At 41.5% G+C, this 21,664-nt stretch overlaps 1 protein-coding gene across 1 annotated transcript in view, besides 2 other annotated features; it reads right to left on the bottom strand.

Annotated features, from left to right (window-relative positions):
* Positions 1–21,664, bottom strand: part of TNFRSF21 (TNF receptor superfamily member 21) — a 78,374-nt gene that overhangs the window by 50,517 nt on the left and 6,193 nt on the right. The window contains exons 2-3 of the mRNA NM_014452.5: positions 3,896–4,547; positions 1,890–2,384 (exon numbers count right to left, since the gene is read on the bottom strand). Of these exons, the coding sequence (NP_055267.1) occupies positions 1,890–2,384; positions 3,896–4,547 (1,147 nt within the window). The remainder of the gene's footprint in view (positions 1–1,889; positions 2,385–3,895; positions 4,548–21,664) is intronic.
* Positions 3,187–4,386: an enhancer, noted in NCBI's record as "MED14-independent group 3 enhancer chr6:47252971-47254170 (GRCh37/hg19 assembly coordinates)". NCBI's record gives its function as "activates an origin of replication core promoter dependent on BRD2, BRD4, P300/CBP and CDK7 cofactors, and independent of MED14, by STARR-seq in HCT116 cells {active_cell/tissue: HCT116}" and the evidence as "EXISTENCE:reporter gene assay evidence [ECO:0000049][PMID:35650434]".
* Positions 20,089–20,188: an enhancer, noted in NCBI's record as "active region_24658". NCBI's record gives its function as "activates an Ori minimal core promoter by ATAC-STARR-seq in GM12878 lymphoblastoid cells {active_cell/tissue: GM12878}" and the evidence as "EXISTENCE:reporter gene assay evidence [ECO:0000049][PMID:35858748]".

The raw sequence follows: 21,664 nt of genomic DNA on the forward strand, positions 1-21,664 counted from the left end.
GGGCCACATAAAATACACCAATAATAGCTGATAAGCTAAAAAAACAAACAAAAAACGCTGGGCAAGGTGGCTCACACCTGTAATCCCAGCACTTTGGGAGGCCGAGGCGGGCGGATCACCTGAGGTTGGGAGTTCAAGACCAGCCTGACCAACATGGAGAAACCCCATCTCTAGTAAAAATACAAAATTAGCTGGGCATGGTGGTACATGCCTGTAATCCCAGCTACTCAGGAGGCTGAGGCAGGAGAATCGCTTGAACCTGGGAGGTGAAGTTGTGGTGAGCTGAGATCACACCATTGCACTCCAGCCTGAGCAACAAGAGCTAAATTCTGTCTCAAAAAAAAAATAAAAAAAAAAAACCCTCAGAAAGTTTATGAATTTGTGTCGGGCTGCATTCAAAGCCAAAGCTGTCCTGGGTCATGGGATGGACAAACTTGATTTACACAAATCAATAAGGGGAAGCAAAATGAGTTGCAAGACTTTTTTAACTTTTTCTAAACGTTTCGTTATAGAAGTGGCATGTACTTAGTACAGACAACTTGGGGAAAGTACAGAAAACTAATAAAGAAAAAAGAAACCCACACATAAATCCCACCACACTGGGGAAAAAAAATTGTCACTTTGGCATATTTCCATTCAGTCTTATTCTCAAGTTTAATGAGAGTTGGGATTATATTCTACAAAGTATGTAGTTTGGTGTTTGTTTTTTTCCTTTAACCTAGTATAAACACTTTCCTGGCTAAAATCAAAAACTTCATAAAATCTTGAATGTCAACATAATATTCCATTCTATGAATATACCATAATTTACTTAGTTTTTCCCTAAAACTGTCCTTCTGTTATTTTCAATTTCTATGAGACATGATGTTGGGTTAAAAGTTTAAGATCTTTGTGCTTATATCTTTGTTTCAGTGTTTCTGATTATACCTTTATGATATATTCACAAGAATGGAATTGCCACGCCAAATGGTATAAATATTTGTAAGACCCCAAAAAGCCAAACTGCTTTTTAGAAAAATAGATATACCCCTTTCTCTTTGAGGGGAGAGGACACACCTGAATGGGGTTATCAAAACTGGGCTGAAGTTTCATTTAGGATTTAAAGAAAGAGAAGTTACTGCACAGTCTGAAAACTGCAGTCTTCAGATCAAACTTAGCTCTGGGACAAGTTCTATAAGCTATTTTTTGCCCTCAAAAGAGGAAAGGCCAAAATATTCCAGCCTGTATTCAACACATGCTGACTACCAGGAAAGAGATGTAATGCTGAGGCTCAGATGATGACCGACATATTATGCTTCTGGGGTCTACAATCCAAAAGACCATCCTACCCTCCTGATAGACATGGGATCCTAAAATTTAAGTGGGGAAAATATATATGTGACGAAATTGTTAGGAATCTAAAAGCAAGGTTCTGACTGAAAATGGCAAACTTATGACAAGTTGGGTTTTGTCCCCTTCATTTGCTTCACAGCCTAATCGTATAGCAAAAGCAAGTGCTCCAACAGTCAGGAGTCTCGTCCCATCTGTCCTCAAAAACAACTAGCCTCTTGTTTGGATCAATGTTGCCAAACCTCTCTAAACTCAAATTTCTCATTTGTTAAATGACAAGGTCAAACAAAGTCCCTAGGAGTCAATCAGGTCTCTGATTCCACAACATTCTTCTGTTTTAAAGGTACCAGGGGAAAAGGAGGAAGAGAGATTATTCTCTCTGAATGCATTACTTCTAATGAGACGGTCAATCTCTTTTTCTATAACACGACTAGATCAAGTAGTGTTTGGTCTACAAAGGAGATTCCACAAACTACGCATTCCCATTCCTTCAGAAAACAGGGACTAGGGAAAAAGTGGTAGAGAGATCTGTGAGCAAGGAGAGAAGAGAGAAGGCTCACCATGGCCATTGCAGTAGTAGATCCATTTCTCCCGGTTCTGGGTTGGAGTCATGGATTTCTTCAGCCCTGCCTTTTCCACAATGGCACTGGGATCCTGCCGGGGCCCCTTTTTCAGAGTCCTCGAGCTTTTCCGGATACTGCACACCACAATCACCACAAGCACCAGCAGCAGGAAAAGCACAATCATCCAGGGCAAATGCTCATTGATGTCAAAATGCTTGTGTAGGTTCTGTCTAGGATGTCCCCTCTTGGGGCCCTTGATGGGCGTGCTGGACTTCTCGCCCCCAGTGGCCTCCATGGACGGCAGCAGCTTCAGGATGTGTCTGTGGTGGGGGCCTTGCTGGTGGTTGACTACCTGAAGGTTTGGGAGGGTCTTGTTCACGTCTTCCTTCCCCCTTGCTGAGCTTGTGTTGTCAGGGACTGTCCCTTCCTGGATGCTACTCAGTACCTTTGGTCTAACAGAGGCAGAAGAGTTGGATTCTGTTGAGTTCATGCCTAGAAAAAAGAGTAAGGAGGGGGGAAGAGCTTTTCCATATTTGGGGATCTATACATTCCCTCCTTTCCCTGGTCATCTCCAAGCTAGGCCAGATAATCAAAGATAAGATGACCCTTGGGGCTTAAGAATAAATTGTGTTGCACATTTTCATAAAGACCCTAATGGCACCTTCATGTGGAAGGCAAAAATGGAACTGAACCACTAAACTCACATTCTTACACCAAAACCAAGGGCAACCTTAAGGATCCAACAGCTGAGCTTGACAGCAGCTTCTCCTGTACTTCACATATTGAGCAGGCACATATATGTGCAGAGATCTAATCAATTCTTATTTTGAGTTTTCAGAGAACCAGTTCAAATTTAATTATTTTGTCCATCCTCCTTCTCCCACCTTTTGACTATTTTATGATGCAGTGGTAAAACTGAGAATATGACTAAGATAAAAAAAAGAATTCAAATGCAAATTTGACTGGTGAAAGACTTGGTAGGACAGGTCAGCAAATAAGAGCATCTGTTATCAAAAGATTAAACAAGATTTGGGCTGGCAGCTTAGCAGACTTCTCTCAGAGAAGCCTCCATAAGTAATTTTCATTAAGAAGTATGAGAGATGGGAATTTTGAGTCCCAAGAGACAGGACTTGGCCTAAGCAAAGCTAGAGTGGCCATCTGAGCTCTTGGAGGCTGTTTCTTCATTTCAACTGGCAATTGTAAGATGGCTGTCTTCACAGGCTTATCATGAAGGCTAAATGTAATCATGCATGAGAGGACACTAGGAGGAACAACTCAAGTTGGTCATCATCTCATGAAAATTACATTAAATCAAAAAGGATTTGAAAATAAAGGATAAATTTTATATTCTGCTTGAGGTTCTGATGGAAAACTTGAATAATTGATATAAGGAGTAAAGTTAAAATCATTTGGAAAAAATAAAGTTATTATTTTCCAGACATGAGTGCTAGTTACCTTCAATCTGATACAAATTTGCTTATTTCCTGAGCTTCTAACTTTCCTACCCATTCTTTGCCCCACCTGGATTCAAAATTCATCTCTCGCTTCCGGATGTAATGGTATTTTCTTCCTTTCTCCCTCTTCTCTGCTCCTGGCTATGTCTACCTGGGACTGACTCCATGTTGGAAAACTTTTGATCTGGAAGGAACCTTAAACATCTAAATTATTCATTTGTTTGACAAGTTTGAAACTGAGGCCTGAAGAGGTTAAGTAACTTACATAAGGTCACACGCTGTCCTTGTTTCTCTTGGTTCATATTTTATAGCTTGATGTGACCTAGTTTTTAGATATCTGATCTCCCCTAACAGAAAAATTCTGAGTCTACATGTTTCTATTAAGTCCAAAAAAGCCAGATTTAATTAGCCACCATATGAAGGCCTCTCTCCAAGGGGTGACTTTGGAATACACGAAATGGAGAAAACATCTTTGGTATAAGCCCACTCTTGGTACCTCCACTGGGCTCAAAGCCTTCCTCAAATAAATAATTCATGAGGTTAAGTTACCTTTGGGAACATAAGTGGAGGAAGGGACTTCATGGGTTTCCATGTGCTCAGGGCGTGGAAAGATGGCTGTGCCAGGGGAAGGTGAGGTGGAGCTGGAGAAGGACGGGAGTGTGCCACAGACGTTGTCTGTCTCCTTGGTCCCCGGCTTGATCACCACCAGGTTCTGACTCAGACAGTCTGTGTATGCTTTGCATTTCATCACACTAGAAGGCACATCTGAGAAGGTACCCCGAGCACACTGCTTACACCGCACATCCTCAGTCTCTGTCCCTTTCTTCCGCACACCCCAACCCACAGGACACACCGTATGGGGGGCACAGGTAGCGTTAGACTGGAACATGCCAGGTGGGCAAGTGCATTCTCGGTCAGTCAAGGCAGCACAAGGTAATTTCTCAATCATTGGCCATGGGCATGGCTGACTACAGTCATGGCATTTCTCTATGCCATTCTCATGCCTGGTAAAGGTCCCCACAGGGCAACTGCTGCAGACGCGCAGGCTTGTGTTGGTACAATGCTCAGAGACATAGGTTCCTGCTGGACACTTGTCACAGGTTAGCACCTGGCCGGTGGCACGGTCAACATGGCGGTATGTGCCAATGAGATTCGAGGCCTTCTGTTCTGGCTGAGCTGTGGTGGTGCTAAGGAATCCAAGCTGAAAGAAACAGAAGGGGAGGGAAAGGAACAAAAACCAAGAAGATGTTACATAGGAGCAGAGCAGAAAAAGGGCCAACAATTCCAGCACCACCATCATCATTCCTGTTAAAGATCCGACCAGGACTGCATCCTCTTGACAGCATGCTGCAACACAGTAGAACGAGAGAAACGAAGACTTGGATCCCACCCTACAGCTTGATCTACTGGCTGTGATGCTTTGGTTTCACTGCCTGACCTTTGCCTCAGCTTCCTTTTTTTCCATTTGTAAAATGAAACTGACAATGCATCTCAAATTGATTATAAAAATCAGTTGAGAATATGTATGTGAAAACACTTTGTAGCTGAGATTTAAAATGTTATATATGGCTGGGCGCACTGGCTCACACCTGTAATTTTTGCATTTGCAAAATTTGCAATTTGCAAAATTTGCCTTACATCACATCTGTAATTTTTGCACACCTGCATTTTTAGAGGCTAAGGCACGCAGATCACCTGAGGTCAGGTGTTCGAGACCAGCCTGGCTGACATGGTAAAACCCCATCTCTACGAAAAATAAGAAATTAACTAGGCTTGGTGGTGCATGCCTGTAATCCCAGCTACTCAGGAGACTGAGGCATGATAATCGCTTGAACCCAGGAGGTGGAGGTTGCAATGAGCCAAGATCAAACCATTGCACTCCAGCCTGGGTGACAAGAGTGAAACTCTTTCTCAAAAAAAAAAAAAAAAAAAAAAAAAAAGAAAAGAAAAATTGTATACTAGTCAAAATCCAAATGCAACAGGAAAATAACTTGCTGACTTTTTAACATTGGGTATTTTATTCATTTAAGGATAAGGGAGCTAATTAAAAAAAAAACTTGCCCTGTTCTTGTCTTTAGAAGATGTATTTTAATAAAAAATGTACTCTTTCTATTTAAGAATTATTTATCACAGATTTGTAAAATACTTTGTTTAGCTTAGTTCTATACTATAAAACTGAAATGGTAACTAAACCTGTAAGAAATCAGTTGAAATTTACATTTCAAATTTATACACATATTTTGTGGCTCAAGTCATGTATGCTACTCTTATAACTGACAAAGGGGTTGTGGACAGAATATGTAAAGGACTCCTAGAAAATCAACACAAGATAAAAATGGGTGAAAAACTTGAGCAGGCATTTTATAAAAGTGAATATTCAAATAGCCAATAAAGGACAAAAACGTAAAACTTCATTATTAATTAAGGAAATGCATATTAAAACCATATTGAAATAGTACTATATACTCCAGAATGGCTAAAGTTAAAAAGACTATCTGATAAAATTAAGTCTTGGTGAGTATGAGAAGCAACTGGAATTCTCATACATTTCTGATAAAGGCATAAATTGCAACACACACTTTGAAAGCTGGTTGGTACTCTTTACAGAAGTTGAAAATGTATACGCTATGACCCAGAAATCCTACTCCTAGTATATACACACATGCCTAATGGAAATGTGTATATATGTGCACCAGAAGGTATGCAACAACGCTTATAGCAAAACTATTTAAAACATTCCCAAGGTGGAAACAGCACACGTTTGTTGGCAGAAAGGATAAATAATTGTCATTTGGTCATATAATGCATTATACAACAATGAAAATGAACTAATACAGCTCCACATAGTAACATGGATAAATCTTACAAACGTAATGTTGAGTAAAGGAAGTCAGGCACAAAATGTACACATTGTATCATTCCAACTGCTTGTTTGAAAACAGAGCTAATCTCTGTGTTACACTGCTTTGGAGAGTGGAGAGAAGGTACAGTGATTAGAGGAGGGCATGAGGGGTGAGTTCTAGGGTGTTGGCAACGCTCCGTAACTTGATCTGGATGCTGGTTACTGGAGTGTGTTTGCTTTGTCACAGATCGTTGAGCTGTACACATAAAATCTGTATACCCTTTTTAGTGTCTCTAAGTAAATAAATAAATAAAAATAAAGCGGTAGAAACAAACATAAAAAAAAAAAAGAAAAAGAAAATAACTTGCTGAATAGTTCTCTTCCTTTCCCCAACCCCAATGTTAAGCTGCCATTTCATGATGCTAGGACAAGGCAACTGGGAACCAGGAAGGCATGCATTCAAGCTGCCAGTTCCATGCACCAGATTGCCTGCTTGGCATTACCTGACAGTCATGGCCTGATTTTTTCAGACGCTTTGCCTACATGAAGCTAAACTTTTATTTATTTGTCAAAACAGAGGCGGGCCCTTGGCATTTTTGTAATGTGCTTTAAACAACAGAGTTGATGCTTTCAGATTCACACCCTGTTTGCTCAGCCTTTGAAGACCATAGCTACGAAAGCATGGGCCTGCAGCCACCCAGGAGAGGAAGCACAAAGCTAGACCCAGCAAGAGGGAATCAACAGGCACTTAGGGGAAAGGAAATTATATTCATGGGACTAAATCCTGAGGTCCTTCTGAGAAGAGACTGGGGGAGAATAAGAATATTAAGAGAAAGTTTTTCTGCATTAATGAATATTGAAAAGTTCCAACAGTTTTCACTATCCTTTATGAAATGCACAAAGTTTATGTGTCAAGGAAATAATGGCTGCCTCAAACTACCAGCTACTCAGCAGGGCAAATTCCTTCTAAATTGGCTGCTATACCAGTGACTAAGAGAATAAATCAAGAATTTTTTTCACAGTGATCAGAGTTTCTGTCTTTTTAGCACCTTGACACTTAATTCAAGGTTCAATTCTCTCCTACCCCAAAATTTAACTATTTGAATCAAAAGTATTTCCCTGAAGTCCCTTCCCCTGTCCCAGAGCTGCCTATCTAGTTAAATAACAATACAGAAAACAAATTTTCAGCTTATGAGGGTATATTCATTTTTTCTGTCGAGACCCTCCCCCAACAAAAAAAGGACAGTTGTTGATTCTTTTGTTAAGAAACTTAACCTCATCTTAGAACCTGGAAAAAACCTCCTGCTTGATGATAAATTCTGTAATGTCTTCCCTTATCCCTTCTGACTTTACCTTTCATTTTCTTGTTCCTTCTATTTGAAAATAAGCCTCAGACACCTTTTTCTGAGCACAGCGGATGCACTGGATAAAAGGACCCATCCTGTGGAACCCAAGTTACATTTGTCAAGAATACCAGCCGGGCACGGTGGCTCATGCCTGTAATCCCAGAACTTTGGAAGGCCAAGGTGGGCAGGTCATTTGAGGTCAGGAGTTCAAGACCAGCTTGGTCAACATGGTGAAATCCCGTCTCTACTAAAAATACAAAAATTAGCCAGATGTGGTGGAGCATGCCTGTAATCCCAGCTACTTGGGAGGCAGAGGTGGGAGAATTGCTTGAGCCTGGGAGGCGGAGGTTGCAGTGAGCCGAGATTGCGCCACTTTACTCCACCCTGGGCGACAGAGTGAGACTCCATCTCAAAAAAAAGAAAAAGAAACAAAAGAGTATCAACGACAGGATTAGACCCTATCTCCCTACTAAACACCCAACCCAAGAGGTTGCAAAAGTGGCTCTGCTCTGTACTTCGTGGCATGTCTACATGCAAAAGCAGTTTTAGACAGCTACAGTGTTCTGAAAGTTTGAAAGCTGTATTAGTAACCCAAGTGGCAGGTTGTTACACTTCAATTAAGAAAGAAGAGAACTGAACCCAAGATCTGGGCAGGGAGCGGTGGTCGGCGATGAATATCACTCTGATGTGCTGTGTGATCTAAGTCAGCCTCCCTACCTGTGTGGGAGGATGGGCAGTCAGACACACCCACACACACACTCACAAGGGTGGCTCTGCAGAATGAGCACAGGAGGTCATGAATAGCAAGTATGTGTGGATTTGGGTGTGGAGTTGGGGTAGGCTTCCTACAGCTTTCTATACTTCCCCCGAAATATGCACTTCTAAATCTAAAGTAAAACCAAAAAAGGTTTTCCTAGCTATACATAAAACCCACCTCCAAACCCCACAGCCCCAACACTCTTTCTCAGACTGTAAGTGGATTTTAGAGCTCTTTGTTCATTTGGAATAACAGATCAAGTTTCTAATTAAAGCAAAACTCGGCCCTGTTTAAACTGTTTCATACTGGGTAACCCACTTTAGACAATGTGTCTCTAAAAAAGGACCTTTAAATTACCTCATACAACAAGAGACAATTCCAGCTCCCGCAAGCAGAGCCAACAAACAATGATCCCTCCACAGTCGGGCCCAGGCTGAACACTAGAAATGAGATTTAGCAAAAACTAGACACTATGAATTCACTGGACAAATAATTATTGAAGACCTAATAGGTGTGTGCAAGACAGCATGCCATGGGCTGAGGATAGAATCTTGAGAACTCTATTCCAGCCCTTATGAAGTTTACATTCTAGGCTGGGATGAACAAAAAAAGAATACACCAGTAATTACTCAATTAGAATTGAAATCACTGCTGAGAAAGAGAAATACAGAATCCTATGAGAGGGAATTGAACAGGTGCTTCCTAGCTCAGGGAAGTTAGAGAAACATTTTGTCACCACTCTTAAGGATGGAGAGGCAGAAATTAACTCCAGGCAAGAAGCAGTGAAAGAGGGTTAGGCAGAGGGAACACCAGATCAAAAGTGTGAAGCAGAAGGAAGCTCAGCACAGGAACTAAAAAGCTTGTGGCTCTATCTCAAGATGCAACAGAGTGGCCACAGTTACATCTGAAGAGTCTCCATGTGCTGATCTTAATTCAAAATGCAATGAGAAGTCATTAAATGTTTACATGATAGGTTGGGGGAGAAGGCATATAATTGCACCTGTGAATCAAAAAGCTGTCTGCTTCAGAGCAGAGGGTGAAAGGGGTATGCGGGAGAGTAGACAAGAAAACCCAGTTAGAGGGTGAAAAACCAACATGGAAGGTGGTGGTGACTCAGACTAGGGTGGCGGATGCGGAAATGGAGAGACGGTGACAGATTTGAGGGCTCAGGTCAGCTGAATTTGGTGAATGATTACTTACAGAAGGGGAAAGAGGAAGAAATCAGTGGTTTTCAAATAGGACTTAAGAGAGCACTGGACAGAACACAGCTCTCAGGATGCTCCTTGGACCAGGGAGGGATGGGAGGTAGGCTCCAAGCCCCCCATCTCTGCCTAAACCAAGCATCTCCACTTTACCAATTTGCTAATGGCTTTCCAAGTAAGAATTCATTTGCAGGAGGGATTTTTCCTAAAACAAGTCTGAAAATCACTGAACTAGAGGGACTTCGAAGGCCTCTTCCAATTCTGAAGTAAACAGTTAACCCAATCTGTGCTACAAAGCTGGAGGGACTGCTCCATGGCCTCTTTCGCCTGAGTGAAACCCTGCTGAGAGGAAGAGTTGGCAACATCCCTTTCTCTTTACAGAGACTCAGATGGCACCTGAGAAAATCCATTTTCCTAGGGCCTTTTAGTCAACTCATGATCTAAAACTAGGGCTTTTCCCACTCGCCTGGTGGCAGCCCTCTGATTTCTAAGAAAATTAAAACACTGTAGAAATCATTCCCAGTGATGATCTGGGAGTGAAACAATGAGTAATGGGGGTGAGGTGGACCCCATTCAAAAGTGGCATTTAAGAATAGTTTCTGTATAACACAACAACAAGGTGAGATGCCACCCAAAGCTAATGCTAGGAAAACACCTGAATCAGGGGACACAGTCATTGAAAAGTGCAAGAGAGTGGGAGCCAGAATATCTGACGCCGAGTCCTACCTGGTCAAGATCCTTAATTCCTTCACTTGTACAGAGTTGGATAAACTAGATCGGAGGCTCACCAAAGCCTCGGGTCTCAAAGGCAGCATCAAAATTACCTGGGAAGCTTTAAAAAAAAAAAATCACACCCCAGCCCCATCATCTGGATCACTGTGGGTCTGCAGTGGGGCCAGGAATTTATTTGGTTTTAGCTTTGGTTCATTTTATTTTTAAGCTTTCCAAGTGATTCTGATGCCCATCCAAGTTTTGGACACCCTGAACTAAGGGCTCTAATCTTCTCTGATTCTGAGACACATTTTGGAGACTGCCCAATCGCACTTCTGCACCACTCTCTCAGCCTCTTAACCAATCTGGTACTTTTAATTGTTTTAATGTTGCCCTGTATTAATTAGTATTTTTTATGATGAAAATAAACATTCATGTAATAATTCTAACAATTAGGAACTATAAAGTAAAACATTTAAGTCTCTGCTCAAATCCACTCATTCCCAGAGAGACTCACTGTGAATTTTGGTGCACATCTTTCCAGACCCTTTTCTGAGCATTCACACATAATACATACATATATGCATGCACACCTTAAATTGGCTGTTCCCATTGATTTTTGTTTTGTTTTGTCTTACATATCCAAAGGGGACTGTCCATACATAGCGTTCTGTGATTTGCTTTTGTTCATCTTCTAACACTGCATCACTAAAATTTGCAAGTTGGACTAGGTTGTGTTCACCTCTAACCCTCTAAGTGTTTACAATTATTTCTGTCAAGCTCCACCTTCCCTGTAAAGCCTTTAAAACTATTCCCAGACACCCAGATTCCAAGTAGATGAGTGAACTCTTCATCATATTTCCTGTTTCTGTTCATCATATTGGTGCCTAATTACATATTGTCTTGTGATGTTTGCTGATGGCCACTTAAGTGTATATACTTATCTTCCCATAATGATTATAAGCAGCTCAAGGCCAGGGACGACCACATAGATTGCATTTCCTCCCTTGCACAACTACCTCAATAATGAAGATCGTGGGAATAAGAAGCAAAGCATTCTCCAAGCCAGGGGTCAGCAAACTAAATCCCACATTCCAATTGTTTTTATAAACACGTTTATTGGAATTCAGCCCTTCATGTAGGTATTGACTATGGCTGCTTTCATGCTACAGCGGCAGAGTTGGATAGTTCCAAAAGACACCTTATGGCCTGCAAACTTAAAATATTATCCAGCCCTTTATAGAATACACTATATATACTACATGCTGGATAATATACTATCCAGCCTTTTACAGAGAAAGTCTGTCAACACCTGCACAGGGCAGTCAAAAGAAATGTCAAAAAATACAGAGAGCAGAAGCTCACTCACAAGAATCGTCAGACCTCTGAAAGTTTAGCAACGAGTACTGAGATATTGGCTTCCTTTCTTGACACCCACTCCAACTCACACTCCAAATCTCATCCTTTCATCCTCTGCTTAAAACTCTCAATCACTTCCCACATGACTTAGGATGAAAGGCAAAGTCTTTAACAAAGATAGGACTTTCTCTGGAATGCCATCCCTGACCACCTCTCCACTAATAAAAACAGGTTTCACAAGATCCCCTCATTCCCATTTTTTCCCCCAGTATGGCTACCACAATACTGTATTTACCCATTTTTCTGTTTAGCATGTCTTCCCCTGTGGATCACAAGCTCCATGTGGACAAGGATCAGGTCTATTTCACTTACTGGTGCTATCCATGCCCTCAAGGACCCAACTCATGGTAATGTCTGACAAGTGTTAGTTGAATAAATGAATGAATGGACTTACAGACCATAAATAATTAGAACCAACATATTAGAAGTGGTGGTAGAGGAGGTTGCTAAAGATGAGTGCACAGGTTTTTTGTTTTGTTTTGTTTTGTTTTGAGATGGAGTCTTGCTCTGTCGCCAGGCTGGGGTGCAGTGGTATGATCTCAGCTCACTGCAACCTCCGCCTCCTGGGTTCAAGCAATTCCCCTGCCTCAGCCTCCTGAGTAGCTGGGACTACAGGGGCACGCCACCATGCCCGGCTAATTTTTTGTATTTTAGTAGAGACAGGGTTTCACCATGTTGGCCAGGATGGTCTCCATCTCCTGACCTCGTGATCCGCCTGCCTCAGCCTTCCAAAGTGCTGGGATTACAGGCGTGAGCCAACGCGCCCGGCTGCGCACAGGTTTAAAAGCGAGCAGGAGAAAACCCAAAGCCTCCACAATGTAGCCACAATAACTCAAGAGATAAAGCAGTCTGGCCTTATACCCTTCAGTACAAGGGCAGATACTTCATTTCATCTCCAAAGACCCTGAGGACATCACTCTGTTTTAACAGAACTACAAATGGCTTACAAGAATTACACTCTGCAGGGTGCTTAAGGTGACAAGCAAATGTATCAAAGAGTTAAAAAATTCCCTCCTCATTTCTTTCTTTTTTTTTTGAGGGGGGCCAGGGGTTCTCACTATGTTGCCCAGGCTGATCTCAAACTCCTGGCCTCAAGCATTCCTGCCACCTCAGACCTCAAAAGTGCTGGAATTATAGGCATGAGCCACTGTGCCCAGCCTCCCCTCTTATTTCTTTAAAAAAAGATGATACTAACTTGGTGATTAGAATTATAAGCAGCATAATAAGATTATCCTCCAGAACTTATCTATGCACCATCCTAGTTTAAACTTTAGTTATGTGGAAAATTTCATTTATCCAAGACATTTATTTCACCAACAATGGATAAATGTGGCAAATATCCCAAACTGTACAGGATTTATAAGCACTATAAATGCCTACTGAATGATTAAAAGGTAAACCCAGAACAACACAAATTTCAAAAGAGGGAGGAGGTAGCTCTAAATAACCAACAGTAAAAACTCCCTGGGTCTCAGCATTCACCCTGGTGAGCCACACCACACCTCTCTTGTTGTCACTTCTATTCTCGGACACAGAGATGGGCCTGACTAAGGACAAGAAGCACTCAGATTTGCAAAGACATGTCAGAATGTTGATGCCTATTTATTCCTTAACAATTCTTACTCCATGACCTCATCCTTCAAACAACGTATTTTTGTCATTCTTGTTCCCTATCAAATTCTAATTTTTAGCGGAAAATGAGCAAAGTCAAGGCGGAAATAAACTTTTTTTCTATTCATAAAGGGCAGGCAGAGAGACTGCCTATGAGTTTGTTGTAGAATTTTTCAATGCTGCATAAAACTAATATTTTGAAGAGGAAGCCCGTTACCGTAGAGATGATAATGCAACCAAGTTATTCCTGAGATGGTGAATCTAAAACATGATAACAGATGATCTAAAGGCAAAACCCAGGCAGAGATGGACCTTCCAGAATTTCTGATCATTTTATTTTGAGCATCACATTAAATGTGTAATATCAAGACACTGGCTGTTTAGAATTCTGTAGATTTGAAGCAGGGAAAAAGGAATGCACAAAGAGGAAAGCTTCAAGGACAGAGCTTCCACAAATCACAGACAGAACTGTTCCCAGTTATGTTGGTCAACTCTTGCATTTCCTACTATCCTCTCTGATTTAAAAAAAAAAAAGTCTTCTGTTGCTAAGGCAAAAGCAGGGACCATTTTTAAAGCTGGTGAATATAGAGGATGCCAAGGCTAGAATGTGCTGACTGCAGGACTGGAAGGAGGCAAGCTCAGGGGACACTGGAAAAAGGAAAAGCCATGTGAGACTTAACTCAGGTGCTGTTTTCCCTGGAACCTGCAATGCAGGAGCGTGTACACTCAGCAGCACTCAGTCCTGGGGCCACAGAACCTCATCTCCTTCCGTGTCCTTAGAAATAACTATTTCTAAGACTTCTGCATACATGAAGAAGCCAAGAGTAGGCTACCCATTTATTTAGTCACTAAGCAGTAAGTGAATTGGCATTCCATGAAAGACAGGAGGAAAGATGCAGAAGGAATGTTACTCTGTGCTCACTAAGGATTTAAAGAAAAGCATGTGAACCAAGGCAAAACCAATGACTCTGGCCAGTGCAGCAACTCCAGCATAAAAGCACGCATAAACAAAACCTATTAATATTTTAGTCTATAGTGTGCCGAGCAGCCCAGATCTACCAGGTGCTAGCTAGGTGTGATACTGTGATATAATAAATATATATATTTGGTCTCTGTCCCTGGTTTCTGGTGCACAATTCCTAAAACCTTAAAATCTCCAGCCACAATAGTGTCTTTTGTATGCTAATGAGATGATTGTCGGCTGGGGGCTGCTAGGTAGCTTCTGGATAGGGGCTGGTCATAAGAAAGACCAAGGTATGATGGAAGGGTTGGGACTTTCAACCCCACCTCCAACCTCAGGGAAGGGGAGAAGGGCTGAACGTTGAGCTGATCACCAATGGCCAGTGATATAATCAATCATGTCTAAGTAATGAAGTCTCCATAAAAGCCCAAAAGGACTGGGGTTTGGAGAGCTTCTGGACAGCTGAACACCTGGAGATTCCTGGAGGATGGGGATGGGCATGGAAGCTCCATGCCCCTTCCCACACACCTTGCCCTATGCATTTCCTCCATCTGGCTGTTCATTTGTATCCTTTATTATATCTTTTATCAAGAAACTGGGGCTGGGTGTGGTGGTACACGCCTGTAGTCCCAGCTACTCAGGAGGCTGAGTAAGTAAAGTGTTTCCCTGAGTTCTGTGAGCCGCTCTTGCAGATTAATAAAACCTGAGGAAGGGGTTGTGGGAACCTTGATTTACAGTCGGTCAGGCCGAAGCACAGGCAAAATAACCTGCGGCTTATGCTTGACATCAGATATTGGGGGCAGTCCCCTGTGACTGAGTCTTTAAACTGTGGGATCCGACACTACTTCCGGGTAGATAGGTCAGAACTGAATTGAACTAGAGGGCACTCAGTTGATGTCTGCTGGAGAATTTGGTGTCAAAGGTGTTGTGTTGAGCCTTGTGTGCAAGTAGAAAAACACGTTGGTTTTTTTTAATCCTTAATTCTGGGTGGCCTTGGCAAATGGCTCACTTCTGTGTCTCTGCCTCCTCATTAGTATAAAGGAGTTAATTAGCAATACCTACTCTTCAAAGACTGTTTTGAGAATTAATTGTTAATACAGATAAAGCAGGCAAAACGTGTCTGACACATAGTAAGCATTCCATAAATGTTATCTTAATTATCACTCCCGCCAACTTAACAATGTACTATATTTTAACAATCTTTTAGTTTTTTACTTTTATTTTTCAAATTTTCTAACGAGTGATGGAAAATCCTTTCTCTTTTTACTTTTTTTTTTTTTTTTTTTTTGAGTTTTTTGAGACGAAGTCTCGCTCTGTCACCCAGGCTGGATTGCAGTGGCACGATCTGGGCTCACTGCAACTTCTCCCTCCTGGGTTCATGCAATTCGAGTGCCTCAGCCTCCCCAGTAGCTGGGATTACAGGCGTGTGCCACCATATCCAGCTAACTTTTATATTTTTAGTAGAGACGGGACTTCACCATATTGACCAGGCTGGTCTTGAACTCCTGGCCTCAAGTGATCCGCCTGCCTCGGCCTCCCAAAATGCTGGCATCACAGATGTAAGCCACCGCACCTGGCCAAGACAATCTTTTAAAACACCCCAATTAAAATGCAAGTATTCAATTCCTGAGAAGTGTATCAAAGACTTCAGATTTTTAAAAGCTATAATCCTGAAACAAACCATCCCGGACTTAGAGCAAACAAAGAAACAAAAAATACAGACTGCACAGTAAAGAGTTAAAAGAGAAACATGGGCCCACTAGCATTTTCAAAACATTTAAAATAAAAACTTGGTATATAGCAAATGAGAAAACACAAGAGAGCAGAAGGGATTTACTATTAATAAGTACATTAGATAACTAGGGCAGAATTTAAGTAAGCATTTCCCACAGTGAGTTTCCCTGATCTAGTCCCATGAGATATTAATGATTCTACGGTCTTAAAAGAGTGAGCATGGGAGGGCAAGGAGAGAGGATTGCTTGAGCCCAGGAGCTTGAGACCAGTCTGGCAACATAGGCAGACCCTGTCACTACAAAAAATTAAAAAAAAAAAAAAAAAAAAAAGGAATCAGGTATAGTGGTGTTCCAGCTACTCAGGAGGCTGAGTGAGGTAGGAGGATCACTCGAGCCCAGGAGGTTGAGGCTACAGTGAGCTGCGATCACATGACTGAACTACAGCCTGGGTGACAGAGCAAGACCCTGTCCCAAATTAAAATAAATAAATAAAAATTTAAAAAGAGTGAGTAAGCTCCAGCACCTGCCTGTTTCTGTATTGCTCACAAGCTAAGAATGGTTTTTACATTTTAAATAGTTTTTAAAAAATCAAACAAATAATCATATTTTGTGACATATAACAATTATATGACAATCAAATTGTAGTGTCCACAAATAAAGCTTTATTGGAACACAGCCACACCCAACCTCTTAGGTATTGCCTAGGGCTGCTCTCACCATTCAAACACAGAATTAAGTAGTTAGAGCAGAAACCACATGACCCATAAAGCTGAAGATATATACTATCTGGCCTTTCACAGACAAAGTTTACCAGCCCCTGGTCTAAAAGTTTAGAAAGTGCTCCTGATTAGAATCTTCTCTCAGAAAGGCACAATCAATATTAACCTACTGAGGGCTCCAGCAGGCCCTGCAGGACAGCTGCCAGAAATGGTGACTTAGTTGAACCTAGCACTCCGCAAACATATTTGACCATAAAACGCTTTACTCATGCAATGAGTATTACTATCTTGCAGAACATACTAATGTAGTTCTTACCACAAATATGACACTAAAGTCCGAAAAGTCAACAAACCCAATATTTAAAACATCACATAGAAAATTCAAAGTTATCAGAATAGTTCATTGCAAAGAGATCAATTTCTGTTAAAATGAACAGCACCAACAAAATGAAAATATTTTCAGACACAAAATATTCTCAGACACAAAGAAAAAGGTTTAAAAATATAAATCTCGGCTGGGTGCAGTGGCTCACACCTGTAATCCCAACACTTTGGGAGGCCGAGGCAGGAGGATCACTTGAGGTCAGGAGTTTGAGACCAGCCAACATGGCCAACATGGTGAAACCCCGCCTCTACTAAAAATACAAAAATTAGCCAGGCAGGGTGGTGCACGCTGTAATCCCAGCTACTCAGGAGGCTGAGGGAGGAAAATCGCTTGAACCTGGGAGGAAGAGGTTGCAGTGAGCTGAGATCACGCCACCTACACACCAGCCTGGGGGACAGAGCGAGACTCTGTCTCAAAAATAAAAACATAAATCTCAACTTTTATGTTATTAAATATAATAATATTACAAGTAGAATGTAAAATAAAACTAAAAATGTATATAAAGAATTCATGCAAATGTGGCTAACATAACTCCTTCTCAATAGTTATGACAGAGGGCTACATGAGTACATAATTACAAAGGTGATCATCCTATGGATAAATGTTTGATATCCCTAGGAGCTATTGAAATTCAAATTTGCACCCAAGGACCCTGACATATCTATATTAAAGCAGCATAAATAAATTAAAATTATAAACTCCAATATTGGCAGGCTTGTGGGCTAGAAAGCACATTTATAGGTGGCTGGTGGCATTCTAAATTAATTCAGTTCTTCTGGACTACAGTCTGGCAAATTCAGTTCTTCTGGACTACAATCTGGCAATGTGCAGCAAAAGCCATAAAACTGTTCATTTATTTCCTTTGACCCAGCAATTCCACTTTGAGGAACACACCTTGGGGAAACAACCAAAAAGGAAAAAGAGCAATTGGTTTATACAGAGACAACTTCATTAGTGCTGCTTGCAGTGGAAGACCAAAGAGACAGCAAGCCAAGCATCCAACAACAATAGAATGGCTCAACACAGTGCCGACTGGAGGGGATAGAGCTATTAAAAAGTGGCAGCCATAAAGGCTTGAACTGACGTGAATCACAGGCACCTCAAAATTACTCAACACGCATCCAAACTTAAGGCCTCTCAGTTTCACCCACTGCTCCCCAAGCCTTCCCTTTCAAAGTAATCAGACCACCATAGACTGCTCAATGTGGGAACCTAGGAATCAACCTTGATCACTGCTTTCAATATCACCTGCTCCTTCCTATCTCGCCATCAGCAAATCTCTCCAAAATTTCTATCTAGTAATCCCCATCTTCATTGTCACTGCTCTAGCACCATCATCTCTGCCCTGAATTACTGTAAAATGTGCTAACTGGCCTCCAGCTTCTATGCTCCCCTTCTCTAATCCATTCTCCACAGAGCTGCCAGTGAGTTTTTATTTTTTTTAATTGCATTCAAGTCATAGTATTACCCTGCTTCCCACTGCACTCTGAGTGATGTCCTGATCCCTTAAAGGATCCTGTATGATATGGCCCCTGCCTGCCTTTTCAAGCTCGATCCGTTGTCCCCATTCACTGAGCAGCAACCACCGTAATCTTTCTATTCTCTGAACATGTAGGCTGTTTCCTCCCTCTGGGCCATCCCACATACTGTTCCTTCCTCCTGGCATACTCTTCCTTCTGTTCTTTAAAAGGCTGGTTCTCATTAAGCATCACCCCTTTTACGACGTCCAAGAAGGAAAGCCCATGAATAGTTTTTCATATCATATACCCAAAGTCTAGCAATGCCTGACATTTAATAGATGCCCCATAAATTTTATTAAACGGATAAAATATAAATATATCTCTGTAAGATAACAGAAAATAGCTGCACTAAGAAAAGCAGAACACAAGCAGGTACATACACATTAGTTTTAACTATACATAAATACTATAAACAAAGGGAATTGAATTGAAATGACACATAAAGAGAATTCTACACCCACTAGGTTCTTCTAGTCTGACAACTTACATAAGTTTAAATTGTTCTTTCTTAATAACTCATCTATCCTTCAGTTGTTGTTCAAAGTACTGAGATGTAATGCTAGCTCCAACTACCCTCTAACTTGACTAGAATGAATGAACAGTTAGTTTAAATCAAGATCCTTCTGAAACTCATTAATCATTTATTCCTTAACTGTTATGTGTCAGGACATTGAGCCAGAAACACAATGATGAAGAGCATATTGTCTTTGAGAAGCTGAAAAACAATATTAGCCCTGAGCTTTTCAAATGAGGAAACACACACAAACCTTGTCTATTTTGTTATTTTTCCTTGACCAGGTCTGCAAGGTTTAAACCCAAGAGGAGAGAGGAGTCATGGACTTCTACACATAAAAGAATAGCAAAGATTGAATCATGATATAGTTAGGATGTATGTCCTCTCCAAATCTCATGCTGACATGTGATCCACAATGTTGGAGGTGGAGTCTTACGGGAGGTGTTTGGGTCATGAGGTGGATCTGTCATGAACGGCTTGGCATTGTCCCATTGGTGATAACTGAGTTCTCTGTTAATTCCTACCAGAGCTGGTTGCTTAAAGAGCCTAGCACTTCCTTCCCTCTCTCTTGCTCCCTCTCTCACCATGTGACACACCAGCCGCCCTTCCGTTCTGCCATGACTAAAAGCTTCCTGAGGCCTTACTAGAAGCCAAACAGATGCTAAATCCATGCTTCTTGTACAGCCTGCAGAACCATGAGTGAAATAAACCTCTTTTCTTTATAAATGACCCAGTCTTGGGTATTCCTTTATAGCATCGCAAAACGGATTAACAAAAATATCCAGCTAAATTATTCTGGGGACCTGTTACCATTTGCCTTGGAATCTCTTTCTTCCTTCCCAACACCCCCACCTCTCCTAATCCTGGGCAAGCTGACCTGGCCGTGTATAGGATGAAATCAAACAATGGTCTTGTCCCAAAGGTTATTTGGGAGACCAGAATTCCAACCTGTTTTCCAGGACAAATGATTAAATAATTTCCTCTCACCCTTTGCCTTTTCCTAGTTTACTCAGTCTCTACAACCTACGAAGCGATGTTTAAAAGCTTACTTAAGCGAGTGCTACCAGTCAGTATGATAAACCACACACAAACACATGACCTCTGACACCCCTCAAATCACGGAGTTAAACCAGTTTCTAAGAGACCTGAAATGAAAAGTGAAAAAAGGAAATACTAACAACAGATGGTACAAGCCCGTGCACTTACCCTATACAAATAACTAGGCTGACAGCAAAGAAAACCCTAAAAGGTCCTCAAGTTCTCAGGATAAGTGAGTTGAAACTACATTGCTAAGCAGAACCCATGTCACACCGTTATTCACTAAACAAATATTTTTCAAAATGACCCAAGTAGCAGGAAAGCAAAGGATCCATTCCCTATTTATAACATTTCAATTTGCAGGAGTATCTTTCCATCTTAGCGATGGCACCCTTGCCCGTCAGAGTCACACCATAGGAAAATGCTTACCAATGACTGCACACCCTTCCCTTTCAATCCACACACAGGTTGCTCTCAGTTTATAACCAGCAGTTTTAGCTAAACTTCCAAGCACCATCGTGGAGCAGAACTGCTCATTAAATTTCTGGAAAGAGAATGTTCAACTCTTGGGTAAAGTCATTCTCTTTACAGAAAACAAAATTCTGGTAAATTAAGGTGACCTCTCTCCTACCAACAACTTGCAGAAAAAGCAGTGTGCACAAAGCCACACTGACCTAGATTTAAACCCTCTCTCCAGCAGTTGCCAACTGCATGACCATAAGATTTCTCAAACTCCATTCCCTTATCTGTAAAATGGGGCTAATGCTACTACCTCAAAGACTTGTCACATGTACTGAGATCATTTGCAGAAGGTATTCAACACAATGTCAAAGATAAGTACTCAATAAATAAGAGGCAGTGATAGCAATATCAATGATTAATATTAACACCCACTTGCTTATTCCTCCCCTCTGGGCTTTCAGAGCTGAAGCCCTATTGAATCCACAGCTGCTCTCATTTGATTCCTGGACTCATGGACTCACTCCTCTCCACTCTCCTAAATCCATTAAGCTCATGTTCCTTTTCCCAAAACAGATAGATTTGCAAGGGCACCAAGCAACAGAGCCACACAGCAGTACTGACAGGAGACGAACAAATAGAAAAGTATATAAAGATTAGATAATGAGCCTTGCTATGACTTAGCTTACTAAGTGCCCCCCTTAGTTTTCTTGTTTTTATTTTTGTGTAGCACAAAGTCTTAGGCATAATTTTTAAATATGAAGCCACAGGGCAATGTTCTGATCCCCACCCACACCCTGCTCAGTCCCACACCTGCCTGAGGTCTCTCTGAGCGCAACTTTCCCACCACTGCACACATCTGTCATCTCCAAAGCCAGGATACTGACAAGAAAATCTTCTGGTGGCCTTTAGCACCTCTCAAGAACAGTGAGATCACTACTGCTCACTGATCTCACTGAGATCACTATTGCTTACTATTGCTTTGAGTCAACAGCCTAAGTATCAGTGAACCCCACCTCTGTATAGCCCTCAGTCCTGCCTGTACTCACTGATATCTGCCAGGTTCCTCCTGGGTTATAACCTCTACCCAAGCTCCTCTCC

Source organism: Homo sapiens, chromosome 6, assembly GCF_000001405.40.
Source record: "Homo sapiens chromosome 6, GRCh38.p14 Primary Assembly".
Taxonomy (NCBI): Eukaryota; Metazoa; Chordata; class Mammalia; order Primates; family Hominidae; genus Homo; species Homo sapiens.